This window comes from Homo sapiens, chromosome 9 (assembly GCF_000001405.40).
Source record: "Homo sapiens chromosome 9, GRCh38.p14 Primary Assembly".
NCBI lineage: Eukaryota > Metazoa > Chordata > Mammalia > Primates > Hominidae > Homo > Homo sapiens.
In genome coordinates this window covers 21,017,339-21,038,953 of record NC_000009.12, presented here as the reverse complement: position 1 = coordinate 21,038,953, position 21,615 = coordinate 21,017,339, and the positions used below count along the sequence as shown (strand labels likewise).

The 21,615-nt window shown below is 38.9% G+C and overlaps 1 protein-coding gene and 1 long non-coding RNA gene across 6 annotated transcripts in view, besides 3 other annotated features; one reads left to right on the top strand and one right to left on the bottom strand.

Moving 5' to 3' along the window:
- Positions 1 to 5,034: 5,034 nt before the first annotated feature.
- LOC105375989 (uncharacterized) lies at positions 5,035 to 7,312 on the bottom strand. Its single transcript, XR_007061435.1, has 3 exons — positions 6,954 to 7,312; positions 6,303 to 6,482; positions 5,035 to 5,591 (listed from the first exon to the last, which is right to left on the bottom strand). It is a non-coding gene; the product is annotated as an uncharacterized LOC105375989 (long non-coding RNA).
- Positions 6,975 to 7,535: an enhancer, noted in NCBI's record as "H3K4me1 hESC enhancer chr9:21031418-21031978 (GRCh37/hg19 assembly coordinates)". NCBI's record gives its function as "activates a minimal SCP1, AML or CMV promoter by ChIP-STARR-seq in naive H9 embryonic stem cells {active_cell/tissue: H9 hESC(naive)}" and the evidence as "EXISTENCE:reporter gene assay evidence [ECO:0000049][PMID:30033119]".
- Positions 6,975 to 7,538: a biological region, named in NCBI's record as "H3K4me1 hESC enhancer GRCh37_chr9:21031418-21031978".
- Positions 7,179 to 7,538: a silencer, noted in NCBI's record as "silent region_19804". NCBI's record gives its function as "represses an Ori minimal core promoter by ATAC-STARR-seq in GM12878 lymphoblastoid cells {active_cell/tissue: GM12878}" and the evidence as "EXISTENCE:reporter gene assay evidence [ECO:0000049][PMID:35858748]".
- Positions 7,314 to 21,615, top strand: part of HACD4 (3-hydroxyacyl-CoA dehydratase 4) — a 32,132-nt gene continuing 17,830 nt past the window's right edge. For 3 of the 5 annotated variants that reach the window (NM_001010915.5, NM_001321903.2, XM_047423390.1), the window contains exons 1-3: positions 7,314 to 7,401; positions 9,556 to 9,659; positions 12,231 to 12,358. In NM_001010915.5, coding sequence (NP_001010915.2) covers positions 7,364 to 7,401; positions 9,556 to 9,659; positions 12,231 to 12,358 — 270 coding nt within the window. In that variant the 5' untranslated portion in view covers positions 7,314 to 7,363. Of the gene's footprint in view, positions 7,555 to 9,555; positions 9,660 to 12,230; positions 12,359 to 21,615 lie in introns of all 5 variants that reach the window. The other 2 variants (NM_001321883.2, XM_017014713.2) reach the window with 1 other exon arrangement.

Here is a 21,615-nt window from a genome sequence, read left to right as displayed (position 1 = left end):
AAAATCTTTATGATCTTCTTATCTAATCCCTCTGAATTGAGAGAATAGCCAACCTTTAGGAGGCAATACAGAATAAAAGAATCTGGAGAGTAAATCTTTTTTCTTGATCCCAGAAACCCATTATTCAAGGAAGAAAGGTTTCTGGTCATATTTTTCTGGGGACAAGCATTTCCTAGCATTGTTAAGTTTATATAAGTATATAATATGAACTGTGTTAATCTATTTAAACATCCAGTGAGTCAATAACTTTTCTTTTTAAAGAGGCTGGTCTTGAACTCCAGGACTCAAGCAATCCTCCCACCTCAGCCTCCACAGTTGCTGGGATTACCGGCATAAGCAACAATGCCTGGCTTTCAATAACTTTTAGACAAATTAATTTTAAATGCTTAGATCATGTCTTTTAATTTTACCTCTTTGTTTTTTAACTTTCCTTATTCAAAAATAGATTACAAAAGATGTTGCAGGGGCCAGTCACAGTGACTCATGCCTGTAATCCCAGTTACTCAGGAGGCTGAGGTGGGAGGATCACTTGAGCCCAGGAGTTCAAGACCAGCCTAAGCAACATAGCAAGACTCAGTCTCTACTAGAAAAAAAAAAAAAAAAGTTGCCGTTTTGCTTCTTGACTGTGTGTATATCATACAATTACAAACTCTTAAATTCTTACAGGCTCATTAGAAAACCTCTTACCTTAGACTACCAAAAAGCAACACTGCCTTTAATAATGACCAGAATATAACACAAATGATTTTATCTGAGATACTATAAAAGTTATCTTCTTTTGAAACTACTTATATCTGCAACCCAAATAATGTTCCCATCACCAAAAAACTAAACTCTAAAAAATTAGCATATAACTTGCTTTTCTCTGAGTGATTCTTCTAAGCAGTTTATAAGGTGAGTTAACCTAAGAAAAGTCATTTTCAGTAATCGTAGGCAATGATGTTGAACAAGAATATATAGAAATGAAAATTGTGAATTTAAATAAAACCTTAACTATATATAGCAGGAATAACAGTTTTGAAACATATTACAGTTGGCTCTCCATATCTGAGAGTTCTGTAACTGCAGATGGAAAATACTTGGGAAAAAAATTAAAAAATATATCACAACTATTTATATAATGTGTACATGGTATTAAATATTACAAGTAATCTAGATTGAAAGCATATGGGAGAATGTGTGTAGGTTATATGCAATTATGTCCTCTTATATAACGGGCTTGAGAATTCTGGACTGTGGTATCTTGGAGTGGGGCAGGTAGCCTGTCCTGGAACCAATCCCCCATGGATACCAAGGGATGACCGTAATATGATTTTCTTTTTGCATCTCTTTGCATGACCTTCCTAGCCTGCCAGAATCATCCTTTTTGCCTCAGGAAATTTGGCTTGTGGTAGGAAGAATGTAAAGGAATGAAATGGTTTCATGCTGGGCTTTTACCTATCAAAGTGGGCTCTTGCAGTCCCCAGTGAAGCACTGGCTTTGAATAAAAGGAATTTCTCAGTTCCCCCAAAGACTCTTTTTAGGATAGCAAAGCTTAGAGAGCTGTGGATTGAGTTTTACAATAAGCCACAGGGAACAAAAACCTAGGATATGAAAATACGGGGAGACATTCCTGCCTAGGGAATTAGTAGCAAGGTTTCTAGGATAGGAGGAAAGATATTCTAAAAAAGGAAGCATGGCAAAATGGAATGTAGAATTTTTAAAAAGCATATAGAATGGAAAGATCTACATAGCAAAGCCCCTATTCCCTCTCCCCAGCTCCCTACCCCAGGCCTAAACCAAAACCACAAATTAGGGCAGGGACTTAGTGAGAATAGGAGATGCCTAAGTTGCAAAATTTAAGCAGGCACCCCCTCTCAGTATTGCAAGGCTGAAGGGGAGCTCCTCCTCAAAGTCTGTACCCTAGGTGCCCTGCTAGCCTCATCTACCCCAGCCCTGCTACAAGAACAGAGATGTGGTAATAGAAATATCCTAAGCCAAGAGGAAGAATCACATGCCATAGGTTTAGTGTCCTTTCTCAGGCAGATGCAGGGAAACCTGTGAGCTCTTAGGGTAGCACCAAATTCAGGGCACAATGTGGGAGAGACAGGGCAGTGCCTGCACAGAAGTTTCCGAATGAACTGCCAGGGGGATGAGGAGATGGCAGAGAGAATGAAGAACGAATGGAGGCCTGGGGATGGAAAGGAAGACTGTCAAGGGAAGGAGAGAAGACAGGAGGTGATAGGGGGTCTTTAATTGGTATTAAGTGGGCCTAGGTTACTATCAACATATTGAATGAGGATACACCTAGTGTACAGACACCAGTGCAAGTAAGCCCCTCAAGAAGCTATCATGAACTAAAAGACAACCCAGGGGCCTATATGTACAGGTCTGCGACCCAGTATTCACCAACTGCAGATTGTGTAAATGCCATACGCTAAGGTGCCTTGGGGAGAAGGGCAATAAATCAAAGAGTCTGCCCTGGAGCATACTGAGTTTCTTTTTATTGAAAAATCTTGTTTTGTATTGTTTACTTTTCCCTTGAAAATCACAGGATGTTATATCATAAGCAATAATAAAAGTTATTCAAAACAGAAAACCCTACATTTCTCTTTATAAATATTAGTGTGTTAAATATTAGTGTGTTAGTGTATTAACAGCTCTATTGAGGTGTAACTAACATATACTAAACTGCAATAAACTGAATCAATTTAAACTGATAAGTTTTAAGATAGATACATGCCTGAAAAACCTCACCACAAGCAAAACAATTAACATTTCCACCTCTCATGCTCCTTTGCAATCCCTCCCTTTTTTCATTCCTCTTCACTATCTATCCTCAGACAGCCACTTATTTTCCTTCTATCAGTGATGATTAGTTTCCACTTTCTAGAGCCTTAAATAAGTAGAATCATACAGTATCTATTCTTTTTTTTTCTGGCTTCTGACATTCAGTTTGATTATTTTGAATTTCATCCATGTTATTGCTTGTATCAGTAGTTCACTTCTTTTTACTGCTGAGTTGGATTTCATTGTACAGTTATGCCATAATTTATTTATCCATTCATCTGTTTATGGAAATTTGGGTTGTTTTCAGTTTTTGGCTATTAAAAATAAAGCTGCTTATGAGAATCCCCATTGTGGCACATCTTCACTAACACTTGTGGTGGTTAACTCTTTTTCATCTTAGCCATCTTTATCAGTGTGTAGCGATATCTCATTGTGGTTTTATTTTCATTTCCATAATTACTAATTATTTTGACCATACTTTTATGTTCTTTCTTTGTCTCTTACTTGGTTATGTGTGTTTTCAAATCTTTTGCCTATTTTGGGGGGGTTTATTGTCTTCCAATTATTGAGTTTTGAGAGTTCTGTATATATTTGCAAACAAGTTCTTTATTAGTTATGCGATTTTTAAATATTTTCTTCTACTATATAGCTTCTTTTCACTCACTTGAAAGTGTCTTTTGAAGGCCAGAAGTAGCTAAGAAATGCTTGCTTAGCTATCTAAGAGGGCTTCTTAGATGAAATACCTAAGAAATCTCTACCTAACCCAAGGTCACAAAGAGTTTTATTCTGTGTTTTCTTTGAGGGAGAGGAGTGACCTCTGAAAACTCAAGGTGCTGAAAATAAAAAAGAATTTATTTTGTAGCCAGTCTGTTACTGCCATGAAATATATTTCAAGGTTTTAGCCTCCCAGATGGTGCTCTTTGGGATGAAAACAAATTGAAGCATTTGCCCAAGGAAAACAAAATTGACATGTTCGAATAATTTTAAAATTTCTTCTAAAGATTAGAATATATTAATTCAGTTGTTATCTTGGACTCTGACTTCTTCTGTACCAGTGGATAACTGAAAGTTGAATATACATACTTCAGTAATGTAACTATCACTGAATGTTTTGTTTTGGGTTAAAATTTTGGGAATAGAAAACTCATACTAGATTTAATTCATTCATCCAACATATTTATGGATACTTACTATGCCAAGCACTGTACTAGGGGCTTTTATCCATTTTCATCTATAAATTTTATTATTTGATCTTTCTAATAACTGTGTGCTTTTGGCAAAAGAAACTTCATTTTTAAAGGTTAAAAGTTGTCAAATTCTCACTGTTAGTGAGAGAGAAGCCTCTGAGAATCTATAATCTAGTTAAATAGTCAAGTACCTTGACAACAACAATACCCTAAGATAAATACCAACATAGACATACGTTAGCCTATGTGACTCCCAGAGGGGATCTTTGGGAAGGCTTTTAAAGAATGAATAGAATTTTGACAGGTAAGTACTGGGCTGTGATAAGGGGAGGAGGTAGAATAGAAAAAGTAGACGGGAAATTTTTCACAGAGGCACATTGGCCAGAGAATGCCTGGTGTGGTCATGGAACAGCAGGTTGCTGTGATTTTTGGTAAGGGGATAGGATGGTAGGAGATGTCAGCATGTGACAGGTTTAGGGGCAAGAAGAGATATACTGTAGCAGGCAACGGGGAGTCAGCAAAAGATTTAGACCAGGAGAATGGCTACATCAGAACTGTGTTTTAAGAAATATTTTTGCCATCCTTAAATAATCTATGGCAGTCTGGGTAGAAGGAGGAAAGAGATTGGAGGCAGGGAGGCTGGGGGAGGCCATCTTGATAATGCTGGCAGGACGTGGGCAGGACTGGGAACTGACCAGGGGAAAGGGAGAATTTCACTTTTCATACAAAATGTTCTCTCCTAAGCTCTTTTTGTACTCTTTCCTTGGGAAATAACGTAGAATCAGCTAACTGCTTGATTTGAAAGGATTTTTTATTTTTCGACTGATTGGCTTGTTCTTTTTTGGCAACTAAAAAGGGCCTCTTTTTGTGCAGCAGAAAGATATAACCCAAGACGCTCCAGAAAGTCAACTGAGTTATGATGTAAAGAATGGATGTGAGGGAGGCCAATTACTCCTCACCCAGGTACTGGAAAATAAGGAATGGACAAAGAACACTACTGATTAGTAGGAGATCTGGAAAGGATGGGATCAATCGAATTTGATTGGATGGGGTGCTTAATGATGACTCCCCAATTTAAAATCAAGTGGCTAGAAAAATGGTGGTCTTTCTGTGGGAAATAATGATTTAGGAAGAGAGATAGTATGCTTATTTTAAATAGGTTGAATTGGAAGACGTTCCAAAGATAGTCCAAACAATAGGACTTTCATGAGGAAATATCCAAAAGCTGCTCAAAGGCCAGAGATAGTATTCATAAAAGAAGAAAGGGCTGAAAATAATAGTCAAAAGTTGTCCACATGGAGATAAAGCCATGTGTGGTTGTCTATGCTGAGGGATAACATGGTGACAAATGGATGGTGACTAAGGGCAGACTTTTGAGGAAATACAGCAGGAGAAGAAGACCCATCCAGAGAGACAGAAGGGACATAAGGCAAGAGACGTAGAATATGTAGAACTTCAGGGGTAAATGGCAGACAGACAGAACTGGTAAAATGCAGCAGACCTGTCAATGAGGATGTGGATGCAGGGGCTGTGTTTGGTGACAAAGGATCAATTCTTCTGGGCAGGCTTTCCACCTTCTCCCTCCTGCCCCACTGCAGGCCATCTGGGACTTTACTTTCTCTCTTGCTGCTTAACCTGATCAGAGATAGCATTGATAATGGGTTAGCCACCAGTTTACCCTTTAGATCAAATGTTCTGTAAAAGCAAGGACCGTGGGGCATCATCCTGCAAGGTGATACAGGATAGGGATTCGGCGAAAAATTAACATGCTCGCGGACGGAGCAGTGTCAGGAGAGTCAAACTGTAAGGTATTATGGAACAGGAAGATGGTAGGAAATGAAAGAAGCACCTGATCAGAGAAGGCAGGCAGGGAGTTATTAGAAGATTCCATTGAGAGAGAAACAGAAAGAATACAATGTTTAATTATATGCTAAGAGAGAGTTGTCTATGTCCCTAAAGTGCAGTGAAAGCCAATGGAAAGGAGGGGATGACGATGCAAGAAGAGGCGATGGTTAACTACTGATGCAGTGAGTCTGAGAAGGGACTGGTAAACACAAAGTTGGGGTTAACCTCCGACTGAGGGCAGGGTATGAGAGAAGGTGCAGAGAAATGTAGAGGTGAGAGGTAGGCATAGTGAATGGAATGGACTATGAAAAAAGGAAGCCACGGCCTAATGGGAAACAAACAAGAAATCCCACCAACCTTGAAGTTCTGATACTGCCATTTTATCAATTGTGTGACCTGTGCCAAGTGACTTAACATTTTTTTAATGCCTCAACTTCCCTTTTGGTAAAAATGGGGGCGCTAACTTCCAACTCCAAAACCAGGTGCCATTGTCCCACTTACTTGCAAGTGCCTTCTTAGATGTTTCTGTTTTTGTTTTAACGTTTCCCTTTCTGGGCAGAGGAGCTTGAAGATGGGCTGGATCTTATTAGCAAAGCAGGAGGGTGGGTCATCTGTGTACGGAGACAGTGATGTCATAAGCCTGAGAGATCACGAAGGGGTTGTAGCAGTGCTGGGCATAGGCTAGAGAAATTAACACAACGTGAATAAAGATTTGCAGGCACCAGTGAGAACCCAAGGGAGATTAGAGAGCAGGGAGGCCTGATAGAAGAGGAATCAGGCCCCTAGCTGAAAAAGTGTTGGGGAGGTGTGCTACAAACTTCGTTTTATTTTTATTTATTTTTTGAGACAGGATCTCGCTCTGTTACCCAGGCTGGAGTGTAGCCGCGTGATCTTGGCTCATTGCAGCCTCGACCTCCCAGGCTCAAGCGATCCTCCCACCTCAGCCTCTGGAGTAGCTGGGACCACAGGCCCGCGTCACCATGCCCGACTAATTTTTGTACATTTAGTAGAGACGCGTTTTCGCTATGTTGCCCAGGCTGGTCTCGAACTCCTGGGCTCAAAAGATCCTCCCGCCTCGGCCTCCCAAAGTGCTGGGATTATAGGCATTAGCCACTGCGCCCGGCACAAGCTTCGTGTCTGAACCTGGCTCACCGGTGGGCATTGAGCAGAGCCCACCCTGGAATCCACTCATCTCGGGAGGTTTGGGGATGGGCTTCAGCGAGTTCGGAGGCCCCGGAAATCGCCCAGATGCATTAATTTCCAGAAGGCTTGCAAGGGGGTCTCAACACAAAGATTAGGAAGCTGTAACCAGAGTTTGGTAACCCCACCGGGAACGCGAGCCGCCTCCCAGCCTTGCGCCCTGACGCGCTCTAGCAGTGCTGCAGAAACTTCGAGAACTTCGTTTTCATCTCTTCCCCAACGCACGACCTCGGGCTTTTTCTTTTTGTAAACTGCTGAGTGTGGAGAGGCCCCGCCCTTCCGCGCCCAGCCGCGGGGCCGCCCCTGCCTCCTCCCCGGTACTCCTTCCTGGACCGCGCTGGAAGCCCTGGCGGCGGCGGCCCATGGGGCCCTTGGCGCTGCCCGCCTGGCTGCAGCCCAGGTAGGGCGCTCGGCCGAATCCCGAGGGGAGGGGGCGCGGGTGGAGGGCCTGGAGGCGGGAGCTCCCCTCTGCGGCGGGCGGGCGGGCGGCACCCCCCGCCCGCCAGCAAGGCGCAGCGCTACCGTGCCCAGGCACCCCTTGGAGCTCATGCAGGTATTTGCTAACTTACCCCTCTTGACCACCCTAGGAAGCAGGCTCTGTTATTTTCTCCATTTTACAGTTGAATGGGAAGGACAGGCTGCATGGCTACCCCTGCCCTTGTGAGCCCTCTGCCAGTACTTCCCTCCCCCCAGGAGCCTTCTCTTGACTTTCTCAGACGCAGAGTTGCGGGGTGATTTTTAGATGTAACAGCCGTGGAAACACCTATCACACGTATAGATTTCAGGGCCTAGTTCCGGCGGGGAACAGATTCAGTCATATAGCGGTAGGGCCTGGGGGTGTATATGTTTAACCCACAAGCCAGGTAATTCTGATACAAGCTGAAGGAGGATTTCCTCTTCCCAAACCCTTTAGCAGTTCCTGCCTTTATAGGGGAGGATGTCCCCAAATAAAAATCATTCTGCCTCCCAGCTTATTTTCCTTGTTTCTAGGAGGTTTCACATCTTCAAGGAGGAGTAAATCTTGACCACACTGGCAGGGCCACTCCCGTCACTCTTCTGAACTCCCAGGGAACATTTCAAACAGTGCTTTTCCTAACTCCCTCAAACCATCTATCTGTCAATCTTCTCTTAGTCATCTCCCCAGCAACTCACAACACATTGTTAAACCCAGCTTGACTTCCCTCTTCTGGTATGAGCAACTAAACTGCTTTCGATATGTATCTGATGAAGGAAACTATCTACCCTTGCAAAATGTTAATAGGCAGTGGCAAGATGTTAATACTAACCTCAATCACATAATGTGTTCAAAAGTCAGGTGTGTCCAATTACTGAATTACCCAACATTTGGATTACTCCCATCCCTACCCCCCTTCAGAACTAAAACACTGTGTCTCAAGTTCTGCACTTAGCAAGCTGAGCTACTGGAACACATAGTGACATGTCAACCACTCTGCACACATGGATTTTTTGTTGTTGTTGTTGTTTTGTTTTTTATTTTTTATTTATTTTTGAGAACAGAGTTTTGATCTGTCGCCCAGGCTGGAGTGCAGTGGCGCTGTCTCGGTTCACTGCAGCCTCTACCTCCCAGGTTCAAGTGATTGTCCTGCCTCAGCCTCCTGAGCAGCTAGGTAGCTGGGATTACAGGCATACGTTACCACATCCGGCTTTTTTTTTTTTTTTTTTGTAAGTTGCCATGTTGGCCAGGCTGGTCTTGAACTTCTGGCCTCAAGTGATCCAACCCGCCTTGGCCTCCCAAAGTGCTGGGATTACATGCCTGAGCCACCGCGCCCAGCCTGTTTTGTTTTTTTAAAGAATATTCAAAGCCACCTTCGCAGTGGTTTCTTTTATTCCTTGGTGAGCAGCAAGGTTAGAACTTTATCAAAGATGAAAGCAGATTTTGAAAAAGCACTATATTTGGTTTTAAGCAAACTCACTATACAGATGGTCCATGACTCACAATTTTTTAAACTTTGTGATGGTGTGAAAATGATATGTATTCATTAGAAACCGTACTTCAAATTTTGGATTTTAATCTTTCCCCAGGCTAGCGATGTGCAGGTATGATATCCTTTCATGATGCTGGGCCGCGGCATCAGGCCGCAGCTCCCAGTCGGCCGCATGATCAGGAAGGTAAACAACCGGTACTCCACAGTGCACTGTGTTGCCAGATGATTCCACCCAACTGTAAGCTAATGTAGGTGTTCTGAGCAAGTTTAAGGTAGACTAGGCTAAGCTGTGATGTTCTGTAGATCAGTTGTATTACATGCATTTTCAACTTATGATATTTTCAGTTTATGATATTTTCAGCTGATGGGGTGTACCAGGACGTAACTTCATCATAAGTGAAGAAGCATCTGTATTTACTTTAGCGGGTAGTGTAGGTTATGGCTCCCTTCAAAATCTGATATGTACTTGGGGGTAACCAGATAAAAGACTGATATGAAACAGTTTTCTTTTGCTTTCTCAGGTTGGCCAGTACATTAAAGGGCATGTGTACAGTGATGAAAGGATGATTATAAAAGAAGTGTTTAATGGTATTTTCCTGTATTTATAGGTATAGGAAGAATGCGTATCTTTTCATCTATTACTTAATCCAGTTCTGTGGCCACTCTTGGATATTTACAAATATGACAGTCAGATTCTTTTCATTTGGAAAAGGTAAAACTCCGAAACAGTTTTTTTATTTTTAACTTTTAATCCTTGTTTTCACCTCATCCTGCTTATATTAAATTTCTACACACCTCAACCTTCTAATATCCTTCTCTAAAATTTGTATTTTTTAGCAACCATGTTTATTGCAAAACCTTCTTGGGGAAGGGGGAAGGTGGGATAAGTAAGGGAAAGGGATTTGGCTTCCCCCTGAGTTGGCAGTTTGCCTCAAAAAAGAGATGGATGGCACTGAGGTGGTATCATTTCATTGTTCCTTTTCCATTCTGTACCAAACCTTAGCAGATTTCTAGTGTTTTGAGGAAATCTCAGCATAACATTTTATGCAGAGAAATCAGGAATGAATCAAATTCTTCCAGTGTTTGTATTATTCCCCAGGTTTGAGGTAACTGGAGACTACTAGTAAGTGAAATACAAATTTTATATTCCCCAAGCCTCTATTTGGTCCCTTTAAGAAGTAATATGTAAATGACACACTTTGTAGAGGGCTAACCACTTATATAGGAGTCAGCATTAATGGTTTAAGTCATAAACTTCCTCTAGTTTCCTGAAAAGTAAAGTCACTGTTGGGTGACTAAATGACTATCAAAATAACATTCTCTTCATGTTCCATCCGCACGTGGGTAAGTGTCCTCACAGTTTACAACTGTTGAGTGACTTGACAATCTAAGCAACTGCTGGCTTCAGCTAAAAACAAATGTTTAGAATGTAGCTGGGAAAAGTCATGCTGTGCTCATCATTTCAGACGTGTGTATCATAAGGAAGTTATTCTACTTGCAGGGTCCCATAAGCTATTTTATGTTGCTTTTTCTTACTGAAAATCTACAGATATAGTCTCGCCTTTGTTAAGGACCTCCAAAGATATAACCTAAAGCTTGAGTTTCAACTACAAATGTTGAGAGTTTTCAAGCACAGGAAAACACAGGTGATGGGAAAACTTCTTTTATATTTTTATTAAAAAGCCATCACTTCTAGCCCTTTGAGGTTTGCTGAGGCAGTGCAGGCATATTACATGTCATTGGCAACACAAGCCATGGACTGGCTTATGCTGTCTCACCTTTCCAGTGAGAAAAGTTGCCTTAGTCATCAAGTATTTCTTTTTCTTTTCTTTCTTTTTTTTTCTTTTCTTTTTTCTTTTTTTTTTTTTTTTGAGATGGAGTTTCCCTCTTGTCGCCCAGGCTGGAGTGCAATGGTACGATGTCACCTCACTGCAACCTCTGTCTCCCAGGTTCAAGTGATTCTCCTGCCTCAGTTCCCTGAGTAGCTGGGATTACAGGTGCCCGCCACCATGCCTGGCTAATTTTTGTATTTTCAGTAGACACGGGGTTTCACCACATTGGCCAGGCTGGTATTGAACTCCTGACCAAAGGTGATCCGCCTGCCTCAGCCTCCCAAAGTGCTGGGATTACAGGCGTGAGCCACTGTGCCCGGCTCGGCGCATTTCTTTCTCAGTTATTATCCTGCCATTACAATTGTAGAAGCTTATTATTAAAGAAACACAACCGATTCGTTCAGGAGACAGACTGAAAACAACTAAGTGTGGTTTCAGTACAATTTTTGAATCAATGTATAAATTATGTAAGTAGCTCAACAGAAACCTGAAACCCTGAACGTGTTATACCTGCTACCTTCTTCCTTCACGGAGCTGTGTAATTCATAATGCTCTGGTACAGCAAGTGCAGGGCAGTGGATAAGAGCATGGACTGTGTACTTCAGGAACCATCTCTGAAATGGGGATGATGATAATAGTGTCCATCTTGTGGAGCTGCCGAGAAGAGAAATCCTTACTGCTCAGTAAATTATTATTGTGTGAATCATCACTGGGCAGTAAAGAGAGCAAAATCTTCCCTACGAGTTTCTAAACATGGCAGGATTTCATTTTAGAACTTAAAGCAACACATTTATCCTATGTAGAGGAACATTTGTTTCCCTTCCATTTCAGCTCCAAGTGCACAGTATTTCATGTGAACCCTCTGCAATGCAAACCCCAAAAGTCCTGATCAGAGGCCCAAGTTCCAGTGTTTAACAAAATCCAGAAAAGCACTAACCAAATATGTATAGAAACAAAATCCTAGATACCTATGTTATTTGATATCATGGCATTATTAGTGTCATTTCCATAAAGTTTCTCCGAAATAATATTTTTTCTCATCTTTGTCATTTTCTTGTCAGTGGAGAAGCTGTGAGCACATAGTGTCCTTAACAAGCTCACTTCTATTTACACTTGAGGTGGTCTAGATTCTAGGAGGTTACTCTTATGTGGGAATTGCTTTATAATCTTATAAGTGGGGAATAAATGCTATGTGTATGTTTGGCCATGAAATCTTTCTCAAGTTTCGATTTCTTTTTGGAACAGGAGCAATTAAAATAGACTACAGTATGAAGTGCTTTGTTTGTTTGCATTGTATTGTTAATAATTTAGTAGCCTACTTAAGGAATTTTTCACATGTACAATGAAAAAGGAAGTGAATAATCTCCATTTGACTTCAAAGTGCTGCATAAATTTGGGTTATAATCCAGTTTTTTCTTCCTATATCTGCATTTTTAACCCACGGGATACAGATTCAATGGTTGACACTTTTTATGCTATTGGACTTGTGATGCGACTTTGCCAATCCGTATCTCTCCTGGAACTGCTGCACATATATGTTGGCATTGAGTCAAACCATCTTCTCCCAAGGTTTTTGCAGGTAGGTTTGAATCACATATTATTATAGAATCTGTTTCATTTTTACATTTTTTCTCTTTAAAGCTTCTCTTGACTTTATGGCAGTTAGAAAGCCAACCCTTGTCTTAGGTCACTGATAAGGAGAATTAATTTCATGGAAGGACAACCTTATTGTAAAACTGCCCAGTTAGAATAACCAGTTGGAAACACTGAGGGCAGTGATGCTTGCTGATCTTGCAGCACTGCATTGGTCCTATCCTGGAAGGAGATTTCGTAGCCACTTGCTACCCTCACTGTGTCACTGCCTGGGTTAGTAGAAGACAATGATAAGGCATAGGACTGGAGACTTAGGCTTGAAGCCTGGCTTTTCTGCTTACCACTATGGGATCATACCACCCATACTATGGGAACAACCATTGGGCTGTTGAGGGAAAGGACACCACAAATAATACCTGGCAAAGAGTAGATGATTAAAAAACAAAAGGCTTCCTTCATCTACATCCAGAGAATAGAGTACTCCTAGGCCATTTCTTGCTCATTCCCTCTTTTTTACTAAACGTCAATGGAAAGAGGAGATCATTTGTGTTTATCTAGTACAGCATCTAAGGATAGACTTGGGGAACACACAGACCCGGATTCAAATCCCAGTTCTACTTTGCACTAGTTGTATACATTTAAACAAGTCATTTAATCATTCTGAACTGCATTTTCTCATGTGATATGAAAATAACATGTATCTTATGAAGTAACTGAGAAAATGGATAAGTTCCTGGCACTTAGTTAAGAATACAATACTCGGCAGCTATTATTACTATTTTCTTAACTATTCTTTGTTCCCTCTTCCATGCCTCTAGCCCTAGATTACCATGTTCTTTGTAAAGACAGGTTGAAGGAAGATGGGAAATTTACTAGTAGTGACTTCATGTAGAAAATCATTGCTGGATAAAGGCAAAAAAATAAAAATAAAGATTTTCTGTAAATTTTATATAGCTCATATAGTTGTCCCTTTCTTATGGGACAGTAAAGGTTAGGCAACTATAAGAACACGAGTTTCAAGTCTACAGAAATAGGTATCTACATGAGTATAATTTTAGGTATCCTCAAAATAAATTTGAAAAATTGATAATTTTGACAATTTCACATTGTAAAAATAATGAAAATGTCAGAATTTTATGGTGTTGCCAGCACCTAGCAAAGTGCTTAGAATGTAAATGTACACTTTAAATTTTTGTTAAATGAAAGAGTGGTATAGATCCTTATATTAAAATTTGTCTAAAATATCATAAAAGCTTAAAAGATATAAATAGTATAATCCTAAGGAGCCTTTTAAGAACTGAGCATTACAAGTTTATGGAATATTTTAAATTTTGCTTATTAAGTAACAGTAGGGAAATAGTATCCATTAGGATAAAGACATTTAAAATGTTGAAATATCAAATATAAAATAAAAGTTAGGGTAATGGTGTATAAACTAATAACATAGTAGTCACTTAACTAGCTAAGACCTAGATGGAATTCCCTTTAGTATAGTTCCTTACAAAATAAACGGGGATACAGATCTGTCCCAACAGCAACATAGTATCTGGGAGCAAGATTTATTGGTGTTTATTACTTATTTACAATGTGGTGTACTTTGAAACAACCAAAATACATGTAGTACCAGCATCCCATAATGTTAATGTTGGAAAATAGAATTAACAACTAACGTTAAATAAAAGTTGTGTTCTATCATCTGGAATGATTTTGCTTGGAGTATGACTAAATTCATTTAAAATCTCAGTTATGTTTTCTATTGGTATTTTTTAAAGGCCTTTTTACTTTTTTAGGCTAAGTGGCTGCTACTAGTTTCATGGTAAACATTTTCAAAATCAAAAGTAGTGTTATTTAATTATTGCCAGTGTAGAGAATGCACCTACAGGGAATAGATAATTTTTTAAGGAAGAAAACTCACTGAGCACCTTGAATGTGCCTAGAAAATGTGCACATATGTGCTTTACAAAATTAGGCTTGTTTAGTAATAGAAATTATTATATAACTTAGAAATCTGATTTCTTGGAGGAATTCCAGAATATACACCTGATTTTAATCACTGCTAATTAAAACTTTAATGGCTTATAGAAATATAACTGTAATCAAAGAACCAAATCTTGGTTTGGCAATTTAAACATAGGGGCAAATATACATTGAGACCTTTTATTCAAAGGCGAGTTTGCAAAATCTGATGTTATCGGAGTGCAAATGATTTTTAAGTCTTCAGTTACTGGGAGAGATAAGTCAGAGATCACTGTGTTAGGGAAGAAAATTATTCTCTTCCTGAGCTGAATATTATCAATTTTTGTTGTGGTTGTTTGGCTTCCTCTTTTTATCTCTTTTAAGATTTTATTTGGCCCCTATTTCTTTTATTAATTTATCATCCTTTTTGTGGTTCCCACAATGGAAATGGTGTTGGATAAAGGTTCAGAAACATGCCTTTGTGCCCAAAGTTTCATTTTCTCCCTCCTTCCTATATTAGAATTATGCAGACAATTAGAATTCCCTCATTATGGGATGGCGCTGAGGCCCCTGCTTTAAAATAATGAAACAAAACTTTCAGATTGTGTAATCATTCTTGGTTTTCCTGTTTCCCCATTTTTAAATGAAGAAACTGTAGTTAAGAGAGTGGCTGCTTTTAAGTAAGCTAAAAAACCATGTCGATACAGTTGTGATGTGATTTTGATTATTACCTTCAAGAGATAGTTAAGTGGGCCAGGTGCAGTGGCTCACGCCTGTAATCCCAGCACTTTGGGAGGCTGAGGCGGTCGGATCACGAGGTCAAGAGATCGAGACCATCCTGGCCAACATGGTGAAACCCTGTCTCTACTAAAAATACAAAAAAATTAGCTGGACGTGGTGGCGCGTGCCTGTGATCCCAGCTACTCGGGAGGCTGAGGCAGGAGAATCACTTGAACCCTGGAGGCAGAGATTACAGTGAGCAGAGATCAGGCCACTGCACTCCAGCCTGGGTGACGGAGCAAGACTCCGTCTCAAAAAAAAAAAAAAAAAAGATTGTTAAGTGACAACTGAATTCTTCTTGGGGGGAACTGGTCCTCCACAATATCAAGAGAAATAATTCCAACCAACAGTAGGAACTGATTAGCTAGTTGAGCAATTGGCATTACACATATCAAGTAGTGGTGGTGTGTCCACAGGGGATAGGTTTGTTTTTGTGCTGTGTTTCTGTTTCTTGTGCATTTATTTTTTAATTTTTTAAATTATACTTTAAGTTCTAGGGTACCTGTGTACAGTGTGCAGGTTTGTTACATATGTATACATGTGCCATGTTGGTGTGCTGCACCCATTAACTCGTCATTTATATTAGGTATATCTCCTAATGCTATTCCTCCCCCCTCCCCCCACCCCACAACAGGCCCCTGTGTGTGATATTCCCCTTCCTGTGTCCAAGTGTTCTCATTGTTCAGTTCCCACCTGTGAGGGAGAACATGTGGTGTTTGTTTTTCTGTCCTTGCGATAGTTTGCTCAGAATGATGGTTTCCAGCTTCATCCATGTCCCTACAAAGGACATGAACTCATCATTTTTTATGGCTGCATAGTATTCGGTGGTGTATATGTGCCACATTTTCTTAATCCAGTCTATCATTGATGGGCATTTGGGTTGGTTCCAAGTCTTTGCTATTGTGAATAGTGCCGCAATAAACATACGTGTGCATGTGTCTTTATAGCAGCATGATTTATAGTCCTTTGGGTATATACCCAGTAATGGGATGGCTGGGTCAAATGGTATTTCTAGTTCTAGATCCTTGAGGAATCGCCACACTGACTTCCACAACGGTTGAACTAGTTTACAGTCCCACCAACAGTGTAAAAGTGTTCCTATTTCTCCACATCCTCTCCAGCACCTGTTGTTTCCTGACTTTTTAATGATTGCCATTCTAACTGGTGTGAGATGGTATCTCATTGTGGTTTTGATTTGCATTTCTCTATGGCCAGTGATGATGAGCATTTTTTCATGTGTCTGTTGGCTGCATAAATGTGTTCTTTTGAGAAGTATCTGTTCATATCCTTTGCCCACTTTTTGATGGGGTTGATTTTTTTTCCTGTAAATTTGTTCTTTGTAGATTCTGGATATTAACCCTTTGTCAGATGGGTAGATTGTAAAAATTTTCTCCCATTCTGTAGGTTGCCTGTTCACTCTGATGGTAGTTTCTTTTGCTGTACCGGAGCTTTTTAGTTTAATTAGATCCCATTTGTCAATTTTGGCTTTTGTTGCCATTGCTTTTGGTGTTTTAGTCATGAAGTCCTTGCCCATGCCTATGTCCTGAGTGGTATTGCCTAGGTGTTCTTCTAGGGTTTTTATGGTTTTAGGTCAAACGTTTCAGTCTTTAATACATCGTGAATTAATTTTTGTATAAGGTTTAAGGAAGGGATTCAGTTTCAGCTACATATGGCTAGCCAGTTTTCCTAGCACCATTTATTAAATAGGGAATCCTTTCCCCATTTGTTGTTTTTGTCAGGTTTGTCAAAGATCAGATGGTTGTAGATGTGTGGTATTACTTCTGAGGGCTCTCTTCTGTTCCATTGGTCTATATCTCTGTTTTGGTACCAGTACCATGCTGTTTTGGTTACTGTAGCCTTGTAGTATAGTTTGAAGTCAGGTAGCGTGATGCCTCTAGCTTTGTTCTTTTGGCTTAGGATTGTCTTGGTGATGCGGGCTCTTTTTTGGTTCCATATGAACTTTAAAGTAGTTTTTTCCAGTTCCGTGAAGAAAGTCATTGGTAGCTTGATGGGGATGGCATTGAATCTATAAATTACCTTGGGCAGTATGGCCATTTTCACGATATTGATTCTTCCTACCCATGAGCATGGAATGTTCTTCCATTTGTTTGTGTCCTCTTTTATTTCGTTGAGCAGTGGTTTGTAGTTCTCCTTGAAGAGGTCCTTCACATCCCTTTTAAGTTGGATTCCTAGGTATTTTATTCTCTTTGAAGCAATTGTGAATGGGAGTTCACTCATGATTTGGCTCTCTGTTTGTCTGTTATTGGTATATAGGAATGCTTGTGAGTTTTGCGCATTGATTCTGTATCCTGAGACTTTGCTGAAGTTGCTTATCAGCTTAAGGAGATTTTGGGCTGAGACGATGGGGTTTTCTAAATATACAATCATGTCATCTGCAGACAGAGACAATTTGACTTCCTCTTTTCCTAATTGAATACCCTTTATTTCCTTCTCCTGCCTGATTGCCCTGGCCAGAACTTCCAACATTATGTTGAATAGGAGTGGTGAGAGAGGGCATCCCTGTCTTGTGCCAGTTTTCATAGGGAATGCTTCCAGTTTTTGCCAATTCAGTATGATATTGGCTGTCGGTTTGTCATAAATAGCTCTTATTATTTTGAGATACGTCCCATCAATACCTAGCTTATGGAGATTTTTTAGCATGAAGGGCTGCTGAATTTTGTCAAAGGCCTTTTCTGCATCTATTGAGATAATCATGTGGTTTTTGTCTTTGGTTCTGTTTATATGATGGATTACGTTTATTGATCTGAGTATGTTGAACCAGCCTTGCATCCCAGGGATGAAGCCAACTTGATCGTGGTGGATAAGCTTTTTGATGTGCTGCTGGACTCGGTTTGCCCTGTGCATTTTTAAATGTTTTACATGCACATCTTTATTTTGATACCTAGGGAGAAACCATTATGAATTTCTAAAATTACATATGAAAGGAAAGGAAAAAACCCATTGACTAAAAGACAATAATCATTTGACTGACATATATTTTATTTTTTTATACGCTTTGGGGAAAAGGGCAAAACCATAGCGTAGCTATTTATGGACTTCCAATTTTTGAAATAATTACACGACAATAAAAATCATATAAGAAAATATAGTAAACTTTGATACTTTTACTTTTCAAAATGGAAAAGTTAAAATGGTCCAAAAGAAGCATAAAAGAAATGATAATATAAATCAAAACTAGGTATTTCTCCTCTCCAATCCCCTCCTCCGAAATGAGCTTGCAAACTTTATTAGCTTAGAAAAAAATGTTGAATTGGAAAACTAGTTGATTTCAGTAAATTTAATCAAAACAACTTGACTTTTATAGTACAGAAACACTATCAAGCCTGAAATGTTGATTTTAAGGGGCTTTGTTCAGTTTGCTTGTACAGAAGCCTGAGGAGGAGATTTTTATTCATGCTGCTTTAGGATGTTTCAACTCAAGAAGAGGGGAAAATAGCCAACACTAACCTTTGTGTCATAACATTAGACTGATATCCCCTATAGGAAACCCTTAATAGATTACTCCATCACTTTTTGAGAAATGCTTTAAATGCCAATATTTCATTTGTAATTGAATTAAAATGATTCAATTATACATCCTTCCCTCTGTGTCATAATAAACACTCCTGCACTATTAATTTTACACATTTTTACTCAATTTTTAAAATTTCTCAACCAAAACACTAAAAACTAATACTCCTAAATGATTGTGCTTACGGAGATTCCATTTATGAGCCCAAATCACATAAACTGTTTCTGTATTTGCCAGTAACACTTCTATTTCTGATCAGGGCAAGCAGGGATCTGTTTGTCAAAAATCCCTCTAAAGATTTCACAGTCACATACTCTTAAGAGAACAAATATGAAGGAATTCCCAAAGGAATTCCTTTTTGCCTTTTAGGCAAAAAGCCAGATTTTACCCTAATTTATTTTTAGCCATGAAGCAGGTGCTTATTTGCATTGCTAGACTAAATAATCTGACTTTCCATTAAAATCACATAGATTTTTCTCACCAGTTTTGAGCTTGGAATAGGCTTATATTGTTAGAGAAGAAACTATAAAAGACAGTGTTGAGTTGTAACATTCTCCAAATTTTGAAGCCTCCTGAGGGTGAATTACATGTCCAATTCACTCTGTAGGTAAGATTTTAGAATCTTCCTGTTTTTCACATTTGATCCATGTGTGATAAGTATAAAGCTATATTTCTAGTGTAATTTTACAGATGTTGAGATTGAATTTTTTAATTCACAGTCATTATCTACATAGAAAAATGTTTTCCTGTAAATACAATGTAAATCACTACATTAAAGTATATTTAAATACTTATTTTCCTAATCATAGCTTACATTTATTTGGGCTTTTATGTGTGTCAAACACTTTTCTCAGTTCTTTACATGTATTAACTTATTTAATCTTTACAACAACCTTTTCCTGTATATAATAATTACTATGTAACAATAGATGCTAATTATTATCTCTGGTATAATTACTTAACACAGAAGTAAATTATGCAAGGTCACATAGGTTTTGAATATTGTAGCAGACATTTAAGCTCTTTGGCTCTTGAGCTCTCAACTATTATGCTACATTTGTTTAGTGTTTCACCAAGTGTAATATAAATATCATGAAGGCAGGGGCTTGGTCTTGTTCACAGCTATATCCCTTGGGACCCAGAACAGTGCACTCAATAATTATCTATTGAATGATGAATAAAGAAGGAAGCAAATACAATTATTTAAATGCATTTGTCTTATAGAAGCATGTAATTGGTAGTTTTTGAATATATAGATTTCTGAAGTTCTCAGAAAAGTTCAGAGGATTGAGAGTTTAGATTTTCATTTTAGTAAAATAGTAGTCTTTTAGACTAAAACTAATTTTAAGATTCTAGAAATTAATTTTTCCTGTAGTTGAAGTATCATTTTTACCCTCCCATAGCTTATAAATCAAGTGCTACCTGCCATTTGTAAAGTAACAACTTAGTTTCAATTTTTGCTCAACCTGGAGTTTAGGATTCCCAAATAGAACATAAAAATGCCCAGCATTTTTATTATATAGTTATCACACTTTTGAGTAGATGACATTATCACTATGTTTAATGTAACCCAAGTTGTAGGATATTTACTATACCTTTTACTCTACCTGTTTGAGTTGTACTAAACAAGACCATTCTCTAGTAATTTGTCATATTTTCACAGGGTTTGTTAAAAATGACAAAGGGCTAAATTCTTCCATGTGTCAAGCTCTAAATAACTGGTCAAATGGTCATATTAGAGAAGACTGATAAATATTAAAAGCCTTTTCTTCAAAATTGTTTTGGTGTTAAGAAAATCAAGGAGGCTCTTGTTTTAAGGCTTAATTTTTAAGGAGAAGCTTTTTTAAAGAATAGGCTATAATCTGGATACTAGGTGATGGAGTAACTCATATCAAGTAACAATGGTGAAAGAGTCTTAGTATTTCAGGAATTTGAAGTCGTATTGTCTAGATGTTGATTCCAGACTTGTAGGTAAGTCACTTTCAGTTGGTAAAATGCATGTCTTTTGTAAAACGCCTAGAACAATAATAGCACCTACTTCTTAGGGTCATTATGGAGATAAAATGAGATGGTGTATATTTGGAACCTGGCACAAGGTAAACAATAAATATTAGCTTTATTTCAATTTAAGAACATCTCTGCCTAAATTTCCCCATTGTATTGCCATTGAATGGTCAAGTTAGAGTTGAATAACCATCAGATGATTTGTTAACGAATTAGATTGACACCGAATATAGAGGGAGTCTTCACTCGTGTGTATGTGTGTTGTGGTTTGGTTTGGGGGTCCATCCTGTTGCTGCTTTCTGTGCAGCTGGGATTTCATCGCTACCTTGCCACAGACAGTGAAGTGATGATTTTCAACAGGGTGAGTTTCATCATGCAGCTCCAGTCTCTCCCTTTTAGGAGATTTTCCCCTCTGTCCTCTTCAATTAAGGGATGACCTGACATCATGGATAGCTTACAACTCTGGAAACCAGGAGACTTCGGATATATATATGTTTCCAGGTCTGTTCCCAAATTCCTTGTTTCCAAAAAGGTGGGGCTGGGCTAGTATCAGAATGTTTTATCTGGAGGAGACCCTAGAGATCATCTTATTGAAAGGTGTCTAAGTTTTTTGAGTAGCCAGCCATGTAATTAGAAATCTGTATTTTATTCATGTATCCATTCATGTATGTGTATCTCCTGAGATTTCTAGCAAAAACCAGAAGGTTTTCCTAATAACCAAGCACTGATCAAATGTAAGAGAGGTAGAGCCTAAGAACTTATTTGTTGCTATGATCGTGTATCTGAAGGCTGAGAGGTGTCATGACATCAAGGTTGGATTGTTCAGTAATTATAATTGCAGTTCAGTAGAATTTATTATTGAAATTAAATCAATAGAGTATTATATTATAAAGAAAGACTGAAAAAAGAAAAACAGCTATGTAGATAGCTTCCATGGTTTGACTAAGGTTTGAATCATATATAATTCCCCT